Consider the following 18,714-nt stretch of genomic DNA (forward strand, 5'->3'; position numbering starts at 1 on the left):
GCACTATTTGCCATATAAAAATTAGCAATAACTTCTATGTTCACCAGTAGGGGTAGGGCTAATCAATACTGGTGTCTTCAAACAAATACAGCCTGGGAAGCTGTAAAAGAAATGAGGTTGCTCCGCTATCATGTTAGAGAGATGTTCTTGATCTAACTACAGTTAAAAACAACACATAGCACTATTCAAATTGTATTGATATTTGTTTTTTATTTTGTTAAGATAGGCTCTTGGTCTGCCACCCAGGCTGCAGTGCAGTGACACAATCATAGCTCACTGCAGCCTCGAACTCCTGGACTCAGATGATCCTCCCGCCTTAGACTCCCGAGTAGCTGGGACTACAGGTGCTACCAACCAACATAGTGAGACAGAGTGTCACTATGTTGCCCAAACTAGTATTGAACTCCTGGCCTGAAGTGATCCTCCCACCTCGGCCTCCCAAAGTGCTGGGATTACAGATGTGAGCCACTGCACCCAGCCTATTTTTTTAAAAAGATATATCTATTCATACGTAAACCTACAGTCTACTTTCAACACAGTAGCCAAAGTTATCTTTTGAAAACATGTCAGTTACTCCTATGCTCAAAGCCCTCCACTGGCTTCCTTTCTCATCAGATTCGGGATCAGGGTCCTCCCTGGTTTCGAGTTCCCTCTGCTACTGCTCTGCCCTTGCTCTCCCTCCCTGCCTCTCTCAGCTCTCATCCTTCTGGCCTTCCTTCCAGTACCTTGGGGTTTTCCTATTTGTTGTTCTCTTTGCCTGAAACTCTCTTCCCCCAGATATCTCCATAGCTTGCTTCTTGCTGTCCTTTGCGTCTCTGCCCAAATGACACTTTGTAATGAGGCCTTCCCTGACCACAGTCTGCACTTTGGGGGAGTACGCTCCTCATCCCTCACCCCTCACCTTGGCCTGGCACTTTCCATTCCACTTCCCTGCAGCCCTGCTCTCCATATCCCTGTCGCCCTCTGCTACATGATAGTAGTATCTTTCCTCGTTTATTGGTTGGTTGTCTACCTTCTTCCTCTAAAATTGTAAACTCTGTGAGGGCTGAGATGTTTGCGTGTTTCTTTATTGCTGGATTCCTGATATCTAGAATGGTACCTGGCACACAATTGGTGCTCAATAAATATTTATTGAATGACTATATAAAATTTCCTTTTTATATGTGCATAAAAACAGTTGTGGAAAAATCACACAGCAAACTATAACAGTGATTACTGCTGGGGAGTTGGATTAGGGAGCTGTGGAGAGAACTTTCATCTTTACTGTATACATTTCTGTGCCATTTGAAACAGGCACTACTTTCATAATTGAAAACTAAATTTAAAATATTTAAAAAGATAAACATAATGGTTCCATCTCTCCCCCCAGGAGAGATGGAAGTGACTCCATTTTTCTTTTTTTGAGCTCTTTTCTGCAAATACCGAAAATCATTTCTAAAAGGAACTATCCTAAGCTTGTCTCCACTGTACCATCCAGAGCTCAGAAAACATCAGCAAGCCTGGTCTTTATGAAGTCCTAACACCATCAAATAGACCAGGACTAGAAGACAGACAGACAGACACACACACACACACACACACACACACACACACACACACACACAGCCTTGTCTATGCCACATGCTGCCTTCTGGATAAAAAGCCTTTCTAATTAACACACCTGACACTTCTTTACACCCACTTCCTCCCTCAGCAGCAAGAGGGAATGTCACTGGTAACTGCTTGAGCCGTTTTCTCTGCATGGTAAAATCTTCAACATTGCTGTCAGACCTGGACCTGATTTGATGCTGTGAGGGCTACAGAATTCATCCAGTGTTTGGGAGCTCCTGAGACAAGACACATTGGCTCCCCTAGAAACAAATCAAACCTAATTTAGCATGACAAGCATCTCAGGGACACATTCACACACCACCACAGCTACACAAACCCTCTACTGAGTGTCTTTCTTTCTTTTTTTTTTTTTTTTTTTTTTTGAGACGGAGTCTTGCTCTGTCGCCCAGGCTGGAGTGCAGTGGCACGATCTCGGCTCACTGCAGCCTCCAACTCCCTGGTTCAAGGGATTCTCCTGCCTCAGCCTCCCGAATAGCTGGGAGTATAGGCACGCGCCACCACGCCCAGCTAATTTTTTGTATTTTTTTAGTAGAGGCGGGGTTTCACCATGCTGGCCAGGATGGTCTCGATCTCCTGACCTCGTGATCTGCCCGCCTTGGCCTCCCAAAGTGCTGGGATTATAGGTGTGAGCCATCATGCCTGGCCCCGAGTGTCTTTCGTAGGCTGTTGTGGTCATGAAGCCCCTGTTAAGTAACTCCTGCTCCTTATCCTTGGGCCTTTACTCCCCAGGAACATACCCATGGTAGTATTAGTGATACCCTCACTGGGAGCCAGTCCATGGGGCCCTTGACATTAGGTTTTCTTGACTTTTTAACTGGCCACAAAGACTCCCTGGCCCGTCCGTGAGGCCTAACCCCAACAGGATAGCAGACGGGGGAGGGGTGCAGTGTAACCCTGAGAGGCCAGGAGGGCCCTGACAGTTTCTGCAACTCATCCTGGAAAGTAGGGCAGCCACAGCCAACTCTCCCCACTATTTTAGTACGGAAACTGGAACTCTTAGAATTTTAAATGAGAACAGATCAACCAGCTGGGCTGTTTTTACTTTTTTCCACTTTGTTTCTTTTTAAGAGAATCAGCTGGAATGAAAATCAAGACTATCTGGAAACCAGCCTCTTGTAGACAGTTACACTTGATTTTGCACTTGATTTTCACTAAGTTTTGGCAAAGCAACAAATTTGAGCTGTGGGCCTAAGGCTGACAATTCTCTGGAACAAGTGCCCCTGGATTCAGCTTTGCTTACTTAGAAATACAAATGGGATTCTTACTCCTTAGCTAAGCTTGGGCCTCATGATTCTACTGATACTTAGGAAAAGGACATCAGTTTATCCTGGAGAAATCTAATTACTGAAATTCACCCTGCTTGGGACCAGAGCACAGGCTTTGGAATCAGAACATCAGCCACTTCTTTCCTGTTCCTCAAGTCAACCAACATTTTAGTGCCCACCACAAGCCAGATACTATGCCAGGTGCTGAGGACAGGGAGATGAATGAGGTCAGTCTCACTCCGGGGAGCTCTGGGCCTAGCAGGGACGACAGACACAAACGCAACAGTTACTGAAACAGAAGCACTGCCCGGAGTGTTCTCTAAAGTGAGCCCTGAGAAGGGAGGATGGGCCAGACTTGCCTTCGGTTACCCTGAGTGTTTATGGAGCCCAAGGCTGTTCTGTTAGCAAGAATGTCCCAGGCCACTCACCACATTGGTTTTCTGCATGACCCTGGCCCACTCCACAGGACTCTGCCTGGCGTTCAGATGTTCTGGGAGGCTTTTTAGCCACGTCGAGGTTCATGCCTGAGAGCTGGAGGTGAAACTGCTCCCTGTGGACGGCCTTTCTGAGCGTGCGGATGGCTTTACGGAGCCGCTTCTCGGTTCGCTTTACGATGCAGCTCAGGTCACAAGAAGCTACAGAAACAAGAGGGACAGCAGTGCGGGAGGAGATCAGGCTGCAGCGTGTGACAATGGCCAGATCAACTGCAGGCCCTACCAACACCCCGAGCTCCCTGTGGACCGAATGGGGAGAAACCTGGAGGGGGCACCTAGCAGGCTGGGCAGCATTTGATTCAAACAGAAATTTGTGGATCAGAATGGTAGCTTTGGGTTTTTATGAAGCAGAGAAAACCATCAGGTTCCAAACCAATTCAGTTTAGTTTCGGGGTGAAAAAAAACAGGAGATACTTCAGTGTTTGCATTACTTTTCCCCCAAGAATAATAAAAAGTGAAAGGCAAAGAAATAAGGAGCAAGCCGTGAGAAGCCTGGCAATGCAGACTGTTTTCAAACCAACCTGTCACCTCCTTTTGGTTAGTTTCAAGCTCAAACTCAACAGTGATAAACATTTCCTTAGGGGTGCTTGGTCGGCCAGGGGCTCCTGGGACTTGCTTGCCAGAGCTGCATGTAAGGTTTACGTAGCGGAAGCTCTCTTTTACTGAGCTGTGCTTCTCTGTATGAAGAAACAAAATTATCGGAAGCCAAATCCTGGCAAAGCACTCAGCTGAACATTTGCTAGAGCTCAGTAAACATTTCATTAAAACAACTCTCAAGGGACTAAGTGATTATCTCCAGATGCCAAGACACTGCAAGCCCTTAACTTGGAGCACAACGACATTTTAATGTTGAAGAGCTAGCATTGCCTCCTATATAACTTTACAATTTAGCTCTTGAAAATTCTTTTCATGAATAAATGGGAGATGTTTCCGACTGACTAGCCACATATGTGGAAGACAAGAACCAGGGATTGTCTTGCATTCCTTACTGACGGTTTGCTAACGTGTGCTTACACTCTCACAGTTGGTTTGCATAAAGCTGGATGTGCCGAGCAGGGGCTGAGGCTTCAAATAAGGAATGAGCACAAGAGTGGAAAGGAAACCAACTACTGCTTTCAGGCAAACTGACCTTGGAGTCATTCTAACCTGAAAGGAAAGCTGGAACACCCGTCAGCAGTGATGTCTCATTTTTAAATAACCAGGAGCAATAAATGGTACAAAGCATCAACAGAACCTAACAATATCATGAAGGCATCTAGGATGAGAGTGGAAGTGTTGCATGACAGGGCTTTGCACATCCTTCTTCCTGACTTGGCTGTCTCCCCTCTCACCATGGTTTCCAGTGAATCTGTTAACCCTCACCAAAGAGCAGGTCCACATATCATCCACTCCATGAATTTGTCTCTATTTCAAAATCTTTATTGAAATGAAGTATTGCCTGTATCAGATTCTTCTTTAACATTACAAGGACATTCAAGCCATAGGTCAACAGGGGCCACAGGAAGGAGGCAGATTTATTTCTTCTCTACATTTTTCCCCTAAAGATTTATCTTACTTTTTCAAAAGGGTAACTTCAGATCTTAAACTGAACAGATTCTCATTTTAAATCTTTTTCCCTTTCGATGTTTCCATATATATTTTTTTAACTTTTCATTTTGAAATAAGTAGATTTATAGAAAAGTTGCTAAGATAGTATAGAGTTCCCACATAACCTTCACTCAGTCTCCCCTAACGTTAACATCATACATTTATCAAAACTAAGACATTAACACTAGTACAATCCCATTAAGTAAACTATAGGCCAAGTCTATTTTTATCATTGTATTTATTTCATTTTTTTGAGACAGGGTCTCGCTCTGTCGCCCAGGCTGGAGTGCAGTGGTGTCAACACAGCTCACTGCAGCCTCAACCTCCTGGGCTCAAGTGATCCGCCCGCCTTGGCCTCCTGAGTAGCTGGGACTACAGGCACAAACCACTAGGCCCGGCTAATTTTTTTATAGTTTTTGTAGAGATGGGGTTTTGTCATGTTACCCAGGCCGCTCCTGAACTCCTGAACTCAAGCAATCTGCCTGCCTTGGCCTCCCAAAGTGCTGAGATTACAGGTATGAGGCACCACAACTGGTTCAAATCTATTTTTAAGCAATGGCCCCTCCCTTCACCCCTGAGGTTTAAAAGTATAAATGCTCACTATGGTTAATTTGGCAAATGCAGAAAAAAAATTAAAATTACCCATGCCTCCCACCCAGATGTAACCACTACTAATGATAGGGTGAGTTTTCTTTTTGTTTCTTCTACCACAGTTTTTCTTACACAATTTGGATTGTATTAGATATACAAAATGTTTCTCTCCTGCTTTACATCTCAGCATTATAACAAGACCATTTTCCTGTGTCATTAAACATTCTTTGAAAACATAGAATTAATAGCTGCATAATATTCCATCAAATGGAGGTACCAAGTTTCTTAAAAATACTTACCTAAAATAGGCAGTCAAAAGTGACTAGAGTGAGCTTTAGGTTTATTTGTCTGTGTGATTTGAGAGTAGATTGGGAAAAGAAGCCTCCCTAATACATGAATCCTGATCCTTTTTATTTTTAATTTCCAAAAGAATTCTATAAAATAATACTGGAAATGTGTGCTGGGAAAGAAAAAGGAATGTTAGATTCTGCTCTTCTCAATAAGGCCAGTTCTACTTGGATGGTATTTGCTTTGCTGAAGCCAATGGGGTCACCGCTTCCAAAAACTAGACCCAGCAGGAAGGCTGGATATTAGATCTTTGTTCATCAAAGTTATCCTTTCTGAGCCAAACCTTTTTTCATTTCTTTGGCTTATATTTCAAGCAAAATCTGAGATCTAGAAAATTTAACCCAATATGATCACAAATTGCTAATTCATCTGAAGCCCTTATTGACTTCTGTGAACTCGTGGGTTTCCCCAGAGCCTCACCAACTATACCATGCAAAGGAAGCCCCGAAGTGTGACCCCAGAACTATACAAGCATGCTAGGTTATGCTCTTCTTCCTCTTGGGATGAGTCCCTGGAAGTTGGGGATGGTTCAGTTCCATCTGCAGTGTGCTTGGATCGGCTGGACAGCCCCTGGCCCCCATGGACCTCCAGCTCGGCTGGCTGCAGGCCCCTTCCCACATGCAGGCAAGCTCCCTACACCAACCACCTGATTCCATACCTGGTAGTGCTGGTCGCAGACCCTCGGGAAACAGCTCAGCATTTTTCAAACTACACTTGCCTTCATTTAGCTTAAAGGTTACACTTGTCCTGATGGTGGTGACATCTTCAGAAAGAAACAAGTGAGAGATGTTACCTTCAGAGGCAAAGGAATGGAGACACCAGATGGGAAGCAGCAAGCTGTCCATTGGTGGCTTCCACCACACACAGCACACCCTGAGACCCTCTCCTACCCTGAGGCTAAGAGTGGCTTGGATCATGGAGTGCCCATTGCCCTGGACTGGGGCCACCAGGAGCCTCCTAAAATTGCAGTTACCCCCTCATGTGAGAGGCAAATCCAGTGTTCAAATAAAACAGAGGCCAGCCTGGCGAACATGGTGAAACCCCATCTCTACTAAAAATACAAAAATTAGCCGGGCATGGTGGCACATGCCTGTAATCCCAGCTACTCGGGAGGCTGAGGCAGGAGAATTGCTTGAACCCAGGAGGCAGAGGTTGCAGTGAGCTGAGATTGCACCACTGCACTCTAGCCTAGGCAACAGAGTGAATGAGACTCCATTTCAAAAAAAACAAAAAATTATCTATCTATCTATCTATCTATCTATCTATCTATCTATCTATCTACCTACCTACCTATCTATCTATCTATCTATCTACCTATCTATCTATCTAAAACTGAGGGTCAAAAATAGCCTCCACGGTGAAATAGAACATGAAGTCATTTTTGTGCCTTCCTGAGAAAAAAAGGCCAGAATCCCCCAGTTCAAATCTGGATAAGCCCGTTTGGCGAAACGGTGAAGGGCAGATTCTCCTAAACAAGCCCGTCGTGGGAGGACAGGGCTGAGGGAGCTGTTGTTCCAGACACAGATGGCACTCACTAAACATGGCTAGGCTCTGAGGTCTGAGAGGGAGTGAGGGTCCCACTGTGAGAGCCTGATGTGCAAAATTCTGTTCTCCTCCCAGGGTCAGTCAGTCTTAACCATCCGGTAGGATCTGGAGTCAATGCCCTACAGCTCTTTTAAGTTGTGGTGAGAACTTGAGCAAGTTACTTAATCTCCCTAAGCTTCAGTGTCCTCATCTGTAAAACAGGCATAATTATAGTACCTATATTACCAGGCTGTTGTAAGGATAAAATGAGATAATGCATTTAAAAAAAGGAAAATGTTTAGCTCCTTGCCTGGTACGTAGTAATAACTGCATAGCCATTAGCTATTTGCTTGCCCCACCTTGGGGTGGCCCAAATCACCAAGGAACTGTCACTGAGGGATTTGGCGAAACAGACCATGATGTATGCCCTGGCTGAGTCCAAACGTGCATTGAAAGGGGCAGTGAAGGATAGTGCTTGAGACTCTGGACCCAGACTGCCTGGGTTCAAATCCCAGCTCCCCTATTTCTTATCTAAACCACTTTGAGTAAGTTATTTCACCTCTCTGAGCCTCAGTTTCTTCATCTGGTTAATGAGAATAATAGTAAAATTTCCTCAGAGGGTTGTAGTATGGCTTAAGTCAGTTAATTCGTGTACTATGGTAGCTGGCATATTTGAATTGCTCAGTCAACACATACAAGCTGTACTGTCTTGCTTTGAGTCTCTAGCTTTGCTCATATATGTAATATGAACATCAGGATGTAATATGAACCTCATTCAGGTGTTCCAATGACATAATGACAAAGGCGTCTATATCCGGGAGGACACAGCCTCCTAAAAACCTTGGATTTCATTCTTCATCTTTTGACAAACAGGAAAGGGTTTGGGCCCCTTTCTCGGCACAGAATCCCTGCTGCCCCTGCTTTGCCTATTTCTATCCACACCATGTGCTCCAGGCACATTCCCTGGGCCTTTGAGGTGCTCTGGAGTACAGCCTGCTGGTCCTGGGGTTCTGTGGGCCTCTGCCCAGGGTGATGACCCACCAGGGCTGACCACAGCCTCCTGACACACAGTGGCCACACAGTAAGTATCTGTTACATGGGAGAGTCACATTCCGGGCACCAGGACTGCAGGCAACAACACCCTGGAACATGCTCACAGCATCAAGGAAATTAACAGAAAAAAAACAAAGCCAATGTCCAAGAACAGCACCCCGTGAATGAAGCCCCTTGAACACAGTGAGCCCCCAGAGAGAACACGCAGATTTGGTAATTACCCCCAAAAGCAGAGTCATTTGATTTTTGTTGTTTGTTCCTGAGAGGAGAGGAAGAGCCACAGGTGACAGAGTAGGCCCCTTGCAGTCCTGACAGACAGAATGTCAATTGTCAAATGCATAAGCAAGGTCACAGGCTATCCTGGTAGCAGCTAAACTGTCCCCCCACCCCACTCCACATGGGCCACTAGAAAAATGCCCAGCATATGGGGTCTCGAAGCATGGACCTCTCAAAGCACGGTGGTCGGGGCATCTGGCGGAGGACCTGGAAGCCCTTTGAGGGAATCTAACACCTGGAGGCCAGAGAGGCCTGGCCCCAGTGTGAGGACCTGCCCCGGGAACTGGGCCCCACTCACCTGAAGAGAGGTGAATGCCAGAGTGACATCTGAGGAAGCACCCGTCTCCTCCACCACTCTTACCGCAGTGCAGGGACACACGGGGTGACACACTTGTGGGCAGGAGCCCCTTCACTTCTAGACAGGACAAAACAGACACTTACAGAAAGAGAAGGACATTTCCAAGTGTGACAAGGATGGTTGAGTCCCATGCACCAAAGGCCCCAAGAAAAGAAGGTAGAGCTCATGCCCAGCACAGAACATAGATGCTAGGCCTTATTCCCACCAAGGGAAAGGAGCCCCTGATATGCCATTTCTTCATGCAGAAAAGCAACCAGGAAAACAGAAGTGAGTTCCAACCTACACAGAAGCACAGAAGGAAACACCAAAGATCCGGCAAAGTATCTCCTGTTTTTGAACTATTTAAAGAACAGTTGCTGCAGCTGGTGGGGAAGTCAGTGGAGGGACGGTCAGGTGGGATGTGGGAGCACGCAGAGCTGCACTGCCTCTGGGCCAGTGGCCAGCCTGCTGTCTGAGTCTGTGCCTCGGTTCCCCTTACCCACACAGTCTTTTTTATTCCAGTGGAGCTTGTACCCAGGGTGGCACTGGCATTCATAGCTGCCCACTGTGTTCACACAGACCTGCTGACAGCCTCCGTTGTTGATGCTGCACTCATTGGTGTCTGTGGAACAAAATACTCTCCTGTCATAGCAGCCTGTCACTGAATGGGCTGACATGGTCCCTCCCTTGAGGAAGGAGCAGCAGGGGAGTCACAAGGTTGAAACTCACTAACCAAAGGAAGACACTGAATGCCTTTAGCATGAGCGCTCGGCACCAGCTGACTGCACACCCCACTCCCCACCCAGCAAATTTCCTGGCAGGAGGCTCAATAGGGCCTTCTCAAGCTCCACTCTTTTTTTTTTTTTTTTTTTTTTTGAGATGGAATTTTGCTCTTGTCACTCAGGCTGGAGTGCAGTGGCACCATCTCAGCTCACTGCAACCTCCGTCTCCCAGCTTCAAGCAATTCTCCTGCCTCAGCCTCCCAAGTAGCTGGGATTACGGGCATGTGCCAACACGCCTGGCTAATTTTTGCATTTTTAGTAGAGATGGGGTTTCACCATGTTGGCCAGGCTGGTCTGGAACTCCTGGCCTCAGGTGATCCACCTGCCTTGGCCTCCCAAAGTGCTGGGATTACAGGTGTGAGCCACCACACCCAGACTCAAGCTCCATTCTTGACCAATCCATTCCTCCATTAGCAACACTCAGAAGGATCCGCACTCTACTTTCAGATGTCCAAACTCAGACACTGCACAGACTTCTATTTTAAAACTCTACCATCCTTCTGAGCTGCCTAGCAAGGGAGGCAGACAGAACTGGGACTCCCTGCTTAACCATTTACACAGTTGAGGCACAGAGAAAGGGAAGTGACTACACTAATTCCCATCAACCTGAGACTGAGTCCAGATCAAAAGGTAGCTCCACCTAAACCCAGACATACATCCATACTCAGGGTACATTTCCTCGAGGTTTCCTGATGGACTGGGAAGAGTAGTATGTCTTTGGCCATGCCAAGGATGTGTTGAAAGGGAGAAGGGAGATAACTGTCAGTAGCAAAGCACTAGTGTATATATATATATATATATATATATTTTTTTTTTTTTTTTTTTTTTTTTTTCAGGTGGAGTTTCGCTCTTATTGCCCAGGCTGGAGTGCAATGGCACAACCTCGGCTCACTGCAACCTCCACCTCCCGGGTTCAAGCAATTTTCCTGCCTCAGCTCCCAAGTAGCTGGGATTACAGGCATGCGCCACCACGCCCGGCTAATCTTGTATTTTTAGTAGAGACAGGGTTTCTCCATGTTGGTTAGGCTGGTCTCGAACTCCCGACCTCAGGTGATCCGCCCGCCTTGGCCTCCCAAAGTTCTGGGATTAGAGCCGTAAGCCACCACGCCCAGCATATCCAATCTTCTAAAGCACAAGACTCAGGACTGGTCAGGAAGTATTTAAGCCAGTGGTTCCCAAATCCTATAGATCCTCAGGAAGATGACCTTGGAAGTCCTAGACATTCTGAATTGGAATCTGAACCTGTATTCTCAAAGATTGCTGGGTGAATCTGATGGCTGGGGGAGTGGAGTGGGAGTTAGTTGGTAACAAATCCAGTTTATGGCATAGCCTGCTTGACCATGAGGTTATGAGACATGAGAACATTTTGCAAAATGGGCACAGAGTGGAGAGAGAAACTTCATAGTTCTGCTTCCAGCTCAAAGACCTAGTTGTGGGACTCAAACCAAGGCTTTGCAGCCAGTTCCTATGCATAGCAGGGCTGTGGAATTGGTGGGTGCCCCCCAAGCCTCTCTGAGGACTGTGACTTTACTATCTGCTGAGATGTTCCAATAGATAGGTTATCAGCTCCTGAGATACCCTTCCACTCTCTGAATACAGCCGCAAGTCAATCAAGTCGATAGAGAATTCACAGCTGGAAGAGCTCAGTTCTTCTCTCTGCTCCATTTCACACTCGGTGTGTTAAAGGGATACATGTGGGGAGATTTCCTTTAGCAGATCCTGCTCTCAAGTTGATGGACTCACCGCTATTGCTCAGGGACTGCAATGTACCTTTCATACCCCAATGTAGGAAAGCAAACCTCAGGGGTAGGCCCTGCTCCCCTCCAGGCCCAGCCTCATTCCCCTCCCAACTTGACAGGGGCAGTCTGCTCACCTCCACAGTGGGTGAAGCCATACAGGGTGTACCCTCGGTTGCAAGCACAAGCAAATGTGCCAGGGTGGTTGATGCAGCTGTGGTCACAGGTCCTATCCAAAGAGCACTCATCCACATCTGTAATGGTCAAAGGGAGAGGGGAGCTGAAACCCACTCTGAGGGATGAGTGAAGAATAGGTTTATGATAAATACCAGTTGCTGACCAACACCAAAAACAATACACACAGAGTAAAAAACATTATCTATCCATTTTCCTCACTCACTTGTGTTAAAGAAAGTGTGGAGCAGCCCACAAGAAGTATACTGACTGCCACGGCCCTCATTTCCACATTCTGTTGCAAACTGCACTTCCCTCAAAACTCAGTTGGTCTCTTTCACCCATGCGTACTTGCAGGGCTAATTTAAAATGTTTAAATGAAGCCAAATGAGATAACATACCTAAAAAGGGTTTTGTAAGCTACAGGTGCTAGCTATGCATTTTTATTGTCATATAACTATTAGTAAAACAGCAATATTAATTTATTAACTACGGCAAATTGAAAGGAGAAAACACTTGGTTTGGAGGTAAATCTAGTTCCCATCCCTTTCTTATTTTCTCAGAATTAGTCTTCTGGCCCCAAGAGGCCAGTTAATCCTAGGTTTTAATGCCCTCTGCACTGAAAGAATGCATCAATACTAATATCCTCACTAATTTTCTCTTTGCAGGCCCTGAAATGTGGTAGTTCAGCTCCACATTGGATGCTTTTGGCCGATGCCTTGGTTTTGCTCCTCCCCTATGTGCCAGTCCTATGAGTCTGCTAGCCTCCTGGTTCAGTGTGGAAGCCTCCTTGGCTGCAGCGGGGGTCATGCACAGCAGCCTCAGGAGGCTGCATTTGTCCATCTCAGCATCTCTTTCCCTGGGTCTGGCCCTCAACCTCTTTCTTGTAGGCTGGAATTTGAGTGCTTCACTCCCTGAACTCTGGAGGATTTTAACATAGTTACGACTTGTGTCTCCAAATGGATAAACCAGGACCAGTGCCGCACTCAGTCGAAGCCAACTAGACCACTGCTAGACCACTTTTTTCAACACCGAGTGTGCCATGAGAAACTATGTTAATAAAAGGCAAAAATGTGGAAGGAACAGGAAGAATGAAAAAGCAAAATAAAAAAGGGCAAATTCTTGCAAAACCTCTTCATCCCTAGCTTTTCCCAGAAATCCTGGCATTTCTTCAGTAAATTTGTTCTGTGCAAGTATTTGTTCTACCAAGACCGATCAGTGAAAAATGAGAAAAACCTAGTTTCTTCCCTAGGAATTGATGCCATTTTATGAAATCTGTTATTAATATCAGCCAGTTGTCGAGAAAGTGCACTTGTTCAGTAGCTGACTTTGGCTGCTCAGTATGGGCTTTTGCTTTGCCAAAAATAATGAGATCACTTTTCTAATTCCTTTTTAATGTGTTTACACAGCTTCAACAGTATTGCCTGCTCTATACACTAGGAAACATTATGTGGAACAGCAAATTTGCTTTCCAAGTCAAACTGAAGAAAACCACACAATAATTATCTAGAATTAACTTACTGAATTTAAAGAGGAATATACTTGAACTGCCTGACAAATTATGCATTAAGAACAAACCAAGAGAAAAACAAAACAAACATCACACCATAATATTTTTGTAAAAAGGTAATGCTACATCTTTGTTATCTAAGATGAAATCTGATACTCTGATTTTTATTTAATTCTGATTTTTTTTTTTTTTTTTTTGAGATGGAGTCTCGCTCTATCCCCCAGGCTGGAGTGCGTGGGCATGATCTCGACTTACTGCAACCTCTGCTTCCTGGGTTCAAGCGATTCTGGTGTCTCAGCCTCCTGAGTAGCTGGGATTACAGGTGCCCGCCACCGCGCCCTCCACCATGCCCCCACCTAATTTTTGTATTTTTAGTAGAGACGGGGTTTTGCCGTGTTGGCCAGACTAGTCTCAAACTCCTGGCCACAAGTGATCGACCTGCCTCAGCCTCCCAAAGTGCTGAGATTACAGTGTGAGCCACCACACCCAGCCTAATTCTGAGATTTCTAACAAAATAAATTAGTCCTTATTCCCAAAAATGGAGCAAGAATACATTACAGCACATCTTTCCTGAGAACTTCTTCTGCATATCAAAGGGAAGGTGCTCATCTAAAAATAGAAAACAGCTTTCCCCCACCCAAAACAGCTGCTAATACTAACAACAACTGCTACCTAGAGAAGTCTCCTTGCTGCAGCCCTTATATGGGAAGGATGTGTTTGAGAAGGGGTCTGAAATCCTCTCTAAGGATCAACAAGCATCTCCTCCCCACAAGCCCTCCCCCTCCCTCTCTGCCTTCCCTCTCTTCAAAGATCAAAGGCTGATGGTTTAAAGCAAGTGCTGGGCCAGGTGCGGTGGCCCACGCCTGTAATCCCAGCACTTTGGGAGGCCTAGGAGGGCGGATCACCTGAGGTTAGGAATTCGAGACCAGCCTGGCCAACACAGTGAAACCCTGACTCTACTAAAAATTCAGAAATTGGCCAGGCGCAGTGGCTCACACCTGTAATCTCAGCACTTTGGGAGGCCGAGGCAGGCAGATCATGAGGTCAGGAGTTCAAGACCAGCCTGACCAACATAGGGAAACCCCGTCTCTACTAAAAATGCAAAAATTAGCCGGGTGTGATGGTGCGCACCTGTAGTCCCAGATACTCAGGAGGTTGAGGCAGGAGAATCGCTTGAACCTGGGAGGCGGAGGTTGCAGTGAGCCAAGATAGCTCCACTGCACTCCAGCCTGGGTGACAGAGCGAGACTCTGTCTCAAAAAAAAAAAAAAAAAAAAAAAAAAAAAAAAAAATTCAGAAATTAGCTGAGCATGGTGGCAGATGCCTGTAATCCCAGCTACTCGGGAGGCTGAGGCAGGAGAATTGCTAGAACCCAGGAAGGCGGAGGTTGCAGTGAACCAAGATGATGCCACTGCACTCCAGCCTGGGCAACAGAGTGAGACTCTGTCTGTAAATAAATAAATAATTAAAAAATTAAAAAAACAAGTGCTATAAGAAAGAGACCAATTGGTACATAATCTTGATCATGGGTTAACTCCAAGTTTTTGCTAGGGAGGTATGTTAACTAAATCTACAGACTTTGCCACCAACTTTTGTGATAAATTCAATAACATTAAAGGAAATTTTAGAAAAGGAAAATTATTCATAATCTCAACACCCCACTGGAACCCCATTTGCATTCTGTTTTCCATTCCATTTCTAGCAGTGAGCTCTGCTGTCATCACATCGATGGGTTCTTTAAGGTGTTCTCTAACCATTAACAGCTTAATTTCCAAATACACCTGTGAGCTACATCAGTGTTTTTATTTTACCTAATAGATGAAATGAGTGAAGCCTAGGAAGGAGATTGGATTAGTGGCCCTGTCAAGAAGCCTGATAAGCCAGTCTCTGCCAGGAGGGTGCTACGTTCTCTCTGCTCCAACCTGTGGGCCATTGCGCAGCACAGCTATGTTTTCAGCACATACCTTGGCAAGACTTCTCATCTGTTAATAATTTAAATCCTTTCTTGCAGCCGCAGTCAAAACTGCCCACGATGTTTTTGCAGAAATGATCACAACCTCCATTGCGGGTCTGGCACTCATCAATATCTGCAACAGGAAAGCATTGGGCATATCAGAGAGCAATACTTGCCTCATTTCCCACAACTCCCTGAAGGGCCATTGTGTGTGTTCATTAGTCTCTGAAATTAAGAAAAAGACTCACAAAAGCATTTAAGAATGTTTGCTGATGTTTTTAACCTTATACATGTTTTCTTATCTGGCTTAACCAGTTTTGAAAGACAAGTGTTTCATCGTCTTGAGAACGCTGACTTATGATGCCCTTGATTGGCATTAAGGAAACAAACTCTGGGAAAGAATGATGACGTCCTGTTATATTCTCATCTTTGTATTGCTCTCTCAAGGTAAGATGGGTCTCTTTAGTACACTATGTATTCAAGTTTAATGATTAAAGCTATAAAGGACTAGAGCATTTGTTTTGGCAAATTACACAATGATCAAATAGCCTCAATGTTTTAAAATGATTCCTGATACTCAATCTTATCTTTTCCCAGTTTCGTCTGGCAATTGGTTATCTACTTTTTATCATGCTAAAGGGCTAATCCTTTGTACTCTTGCCCATGAAATATGAGCAAGTCATTGGGGTCGCTCTTCATCAGTAAAAGTTAATGGTACAGTTATTCATTAAGTCCTCTGGATAATCATCTTGACTGTTATTTATATAATAATCTCTAGGCTATTATGTATGATATGTTGATATTATCTCCTGCAAATGAATGCTTCCTTTAACTGCCTTTTTCTAATAAGGCCACTGTCTGAAATGAATTATTTGATGCTTGTAGAGGCTGACCTCCTCAACAATTAGTGTAATTAAGTGTTGGTTCTAATTAAGCTTACTCAGTTATAACCTTCCACTAGCCCAGGGGGAAAAAGCTCCCATTGATATGAATCATAAGCAAATCTCGAGTCACGTGGGGTATGGAGGGTATGTTGCCTTTATCCCCATATGTTAGCGGCATGGGCCCTCCCTCCATAACAGGGCACCCAGTCTCCCTGGGGAGGTGAAGGCTACCTTTACATGTCTTCCCATCCAACTGGAGAGTGAATCCAACAGGACAACTGCAGTGGACACCTGTCGAAGTATCCTTACAGGTGCGGTCACAGCCTCCATTGTTGACAGCACACGTTTCTGGCAAGGAGGTAAGAAAAGACAATTAGCTTCCCAAAGAAGTGCTGATACAGCTGACGAAGGTCACAGAAGCCAAGAAGCATGGTGGGGTACTCATGGTCATACCCCAAGTCTCTGCTACCTGCAGATGGGCTAGAGGGAGAGCAGGTGCAGCTCCTCCCACCCCCCTAAATGAGTTCTAGTTTCTGAGGAAGACTGTCAGGGTGACCAGAGGGATAAAGATGTCTCCCAATCTGCAGAGCCACTCCCCCTACTGGCAAATTTAAAGCCACTGAAAGTTCCTGCTGATCTGCAGCCAGCAACCTAAGTAGGACCACATCTGGCAGGCTAGAGGTGAGTGCAGAACAGGGCAAAGGGGATGGTCCTTTCTTAATCTTGAACCTTCTCCTTTCGATATGAGTAATGGGCAAAGCAAGAGTGGGTAAGCATCGCCGCCCCAACCACTGCCTTGTTGTAGACTACTGACTTCATCCTTGCAACTGCCAATTTACTCAAATTTGAAGTTTCACTTTCCCTGAAAGGAGAAAGCCCTGTCATAACCACGTGAAAAATAAGCCACAATTGTTAAATTGCAACAATGGAGATGAGGAACAATAAGCAAACAGCCTTCTAGTTCTGTATCTCATACAGTTAGTCCAAGTAATAGACAAGTGCTATTCAACATTCATTGAATTGTTAGCATCTAGGCACCCAGAAACATGATTTTTCTACCATAGCTACCTCACTTTAAAGGCTGGGGGTGGGGGGTGGTGGCGAGGGTGGTGGCTTACCCCTGTAATCCCAACACTTTGGGAGGCTGAGGCAGGAGGATCACCTGAGCCCAGGGGTTCAAGACCAGCCTGGGCCACGTGGTGAGACCCCCATCTCTACACAAATTTTAAAAAATTAGCGAGGCCTGGTGACGCACACCTGTGGTCCCAGCTACTCGGGAGGCTGAAGCAGGAAGATCACTTGAGCCCAGGAGGTCAAGGGTGCAGTGAGCCATGTTTGTGCCACTGCACTCCAGCCTGAGCAATACAGCGAGACCCTGTCTCAAGAAAAGAAAAGAAAAAAAAAAAAAAAGAAGGAACCCTAAAGGGAACAAGCTTAATCCTAATTAAATATGCAGATAGTACATGTATGTTTATCTCTGTTCCTTTCAAAACCTCACGAATATGAGAATCAATTGATTTTTTAAAGTATAAATCCTTAAGGACAAAGAAAATAGGAGAAAAGACAATAGATAAAAGATGTCAAACATTCTGGAAGTGACATGTTAGCAGGAGAGCAGTATCTGGCGTAGAAGAAAGCTAGATCCTAGCAGTCTGCAGAGGGGGTGCCAACAGCTGGTAAACTCCTGTGAGCCCCAGAGTCCCAGAAAGACTCAGGAATTGGAGGTATCAAGTTATTCTAGAGGCAGAAATGAGGACGGAGTTAAGAACAGGAAGATTATGGAGAGTCTACATATGAAAGAGATAAACCCCAGAGCTCCTCCTTAACTCCACATAGTCATGTGACTACCCTTCTCCTATTCTGGCTATAGCAGAGAAGTCTGGACCAGAGAGGTACCAGGCTCAAGGGCACCAGGAATAGCAGAGGAGGAGAGGGTGTCACCATCAGGTGAAAGTCTATACCCTGAAAAAGAGATCTCTAACCCTCATCCCTCTTCCCCCAACTCCTTCAGCTCCCTACTGGCAGATTTAAAGCCATTGAAAATTCCAAAAGCTATGTTAAAATAACAGCCATTGAAAGTTCCAAAAAGCTATGTTGAAACAACACTGCAACCCAGGATGCTAGCAGCCAAGCCTACAGGCAGGTGGTTGAAGGACTCCTCTCCGGCTAAATTGACCTGCCCAAGCAAAAAGACCTAACGATATTAGCATTCGAGGATCTCCAGATGAAATGGCTATGTCACTGCCTCGTCACCCAAACATGAAGCCCACAAATCAATAGAATATCCAATTGGCTTTTTAGTATTTTACTGTTAAATATGAAAAGTCGGTCAAGAATCACTAGACATTTCTGGAAAGCCTCTAATACGGAATGAATATACCAGATCAAACCAACGGGGAAAAAGAAACCTGGAGGAAACAAAGATAATCTAGAGAACAGAAGAGGAGTTAAAATCTCGTAATTAATTTCCTCAGGGGGACAAGAAAAGCATCCATGAAATAAGAGCAGGTTCCTAAAACCAAAGGCCAAAGTAAAATGCCTGAAAAATTAAAACATGAAAACGAAAACTTTATCCTGTGCAAAGATTAG

General features: G+C 45.2%; 1 protein-coding gene and 1 long non-coding RNA gene across 34 annotated transcripts in view, besides 4 other annotated features; one reads left to right on the forward strand and one right to left on the reverse strand.

Annotated features, from left to right (window-relative positions):
• NRIP3-DT (NRIP3 divergent transcript) overlaps nucleotides 1-18,714 on the forward strand; it is a 63,704-nt gene that overhangs the window by 39,964 nt on the left and 5,026 nt on the right. Inside the window, exon 2 of the long non-coding RNA NR_183663.1 lies at nucleotides 15,557-15,688. This is a non-coding gene — a long non-coding RNA (NRIP3 divergent transcript). The remainder of the gene's footprint in view (nucleotides 1-15,556; nucleotides 15,689-18,714) is intronic.
• The window catches only part of SCUBE2 (signal peptide, CUB domain and EGF like domain containing 2), a 72,124-nt gene that overhangs the window by 24,576 nt on the left and 28,834 nt on the right, over nucleotides 1-18,714 (reverse strand). For 6 of the 33 annotated variants that reach the window (NM_020974.4, XM_011520246.3, NM_001367977.2 and 3 more), the window contains exons 8-16: nucleotides 16,357-16,473; nucleotides 15,252-15,374; nucleotides 11,742-11,858; nucleotides 9,586-9,708; nucleotides 9,048-9,164; nucleotides 8,695-8,781; nucleotides 6,555-6,659; nucleotides 3,892-4,047; nucleotides 3,305-3,511 (exon numbers count right to left, since the gene is read on the reverse strand). In NM_020974.4, the coding sequence (NP_066025.2) occupies nucleotides 3,305-3,511; nucleotides 3,892-4,047; nucleotides 6,555-6,659; nucleotides 8,695-8,781; nucleotides 9,048-9,164; nucleotides 9,586-9,708; nucleotides 11,742-11,858; nucleotides 15,252-15,374; nucleotides 16,357-16,473 (1,152 nt within the window). Of the gene's footprint in view, nucleotides 1-1,665; nucleotides 1,851-3,304; nucleotides 3,512-3,891; nucleotides 4,048-6,554; nucleotides 6,660-8,694; nucleotides 8,782-9,047; nucleotides 9,165-9,585; nucleotides 9,709-11,741; nucleotides 11,859-15,251; nucleotides 15,375-16,356; nucleotides 16,474-18,714 lie in introns of those variants that run through there. The other 27 variants (XM_047427359.1, XM_047427361.1, XM_011520247.3 and 24 more) reach the window with 9 other exon arrangements.
• Nucleotides 2,987-3,488: an enhancer, noted in NCBI's record as "H3K4me1 hESC enhancer chr11:9068585-9069086 (GRCh37/hg19 assembly coordinates)". NCBI's record gives its function as "activates a minimal SCP1, AML or CMV promoter by ChIP-STARR-seq in naive H9 embryonic stem cells {active_cell/tissue: H9 hESC(naive)}" and the evidence as "EXISTENCE:reporter gene assay evidence [ECO:0000049][PMID:30033119]".
• Nucleotides 16,841-16,890: a silencer, noted in NCBI's record as "silent region_3120". NCBI's record gives its function as "represses an Ori minimal core promoter by ATAC-STARR-seq in GM12878 lymphoblastoid cells {active_cell/tissue: GM12878}" and the evidence as "EXISTENCE:reporter gene assay evidence [ECO:0000049][PMID:35858748]".
• Nucleotides 16,981-17,030: an enhancer, noted in NCBI's record as "active region_4398". NCBI's record gives its function as "activates an Ori minimal core promoter by ATAC-STARR-seq in GM12878 lymphoblastoid cells {active_cell/tissue: GM12878}" and the evidence as "EXISTENCE:reporter gene assay evidence [ECO:0000049][PMID:35858748]".
• Nucleotides 17,051-17,100: an enhancer, noted in NCBI's record as "active region_4399". NCBI's record gives its function as "activates an Ori minimal core promoter by ATAC-STARR-seq in GM12878 lymphoblastoid cells {active_cell/tissue: GM12878}" and the evidence as "EXISTENCE:reporter gene assay evidence [ECO:0000049][PMID:35858748]".

Source organism: Homo sapiens, chromosome 11 (genome assembly GCF_000001405.40).
Source record: "Homo sapiens chromosome 11, GRCh38.p14 Primary Assembly".
NCBI lineage: Eukaryota > Metazoa > Chordata > Mammalia > Primates > Hominidae > Homo > Homo sapiens.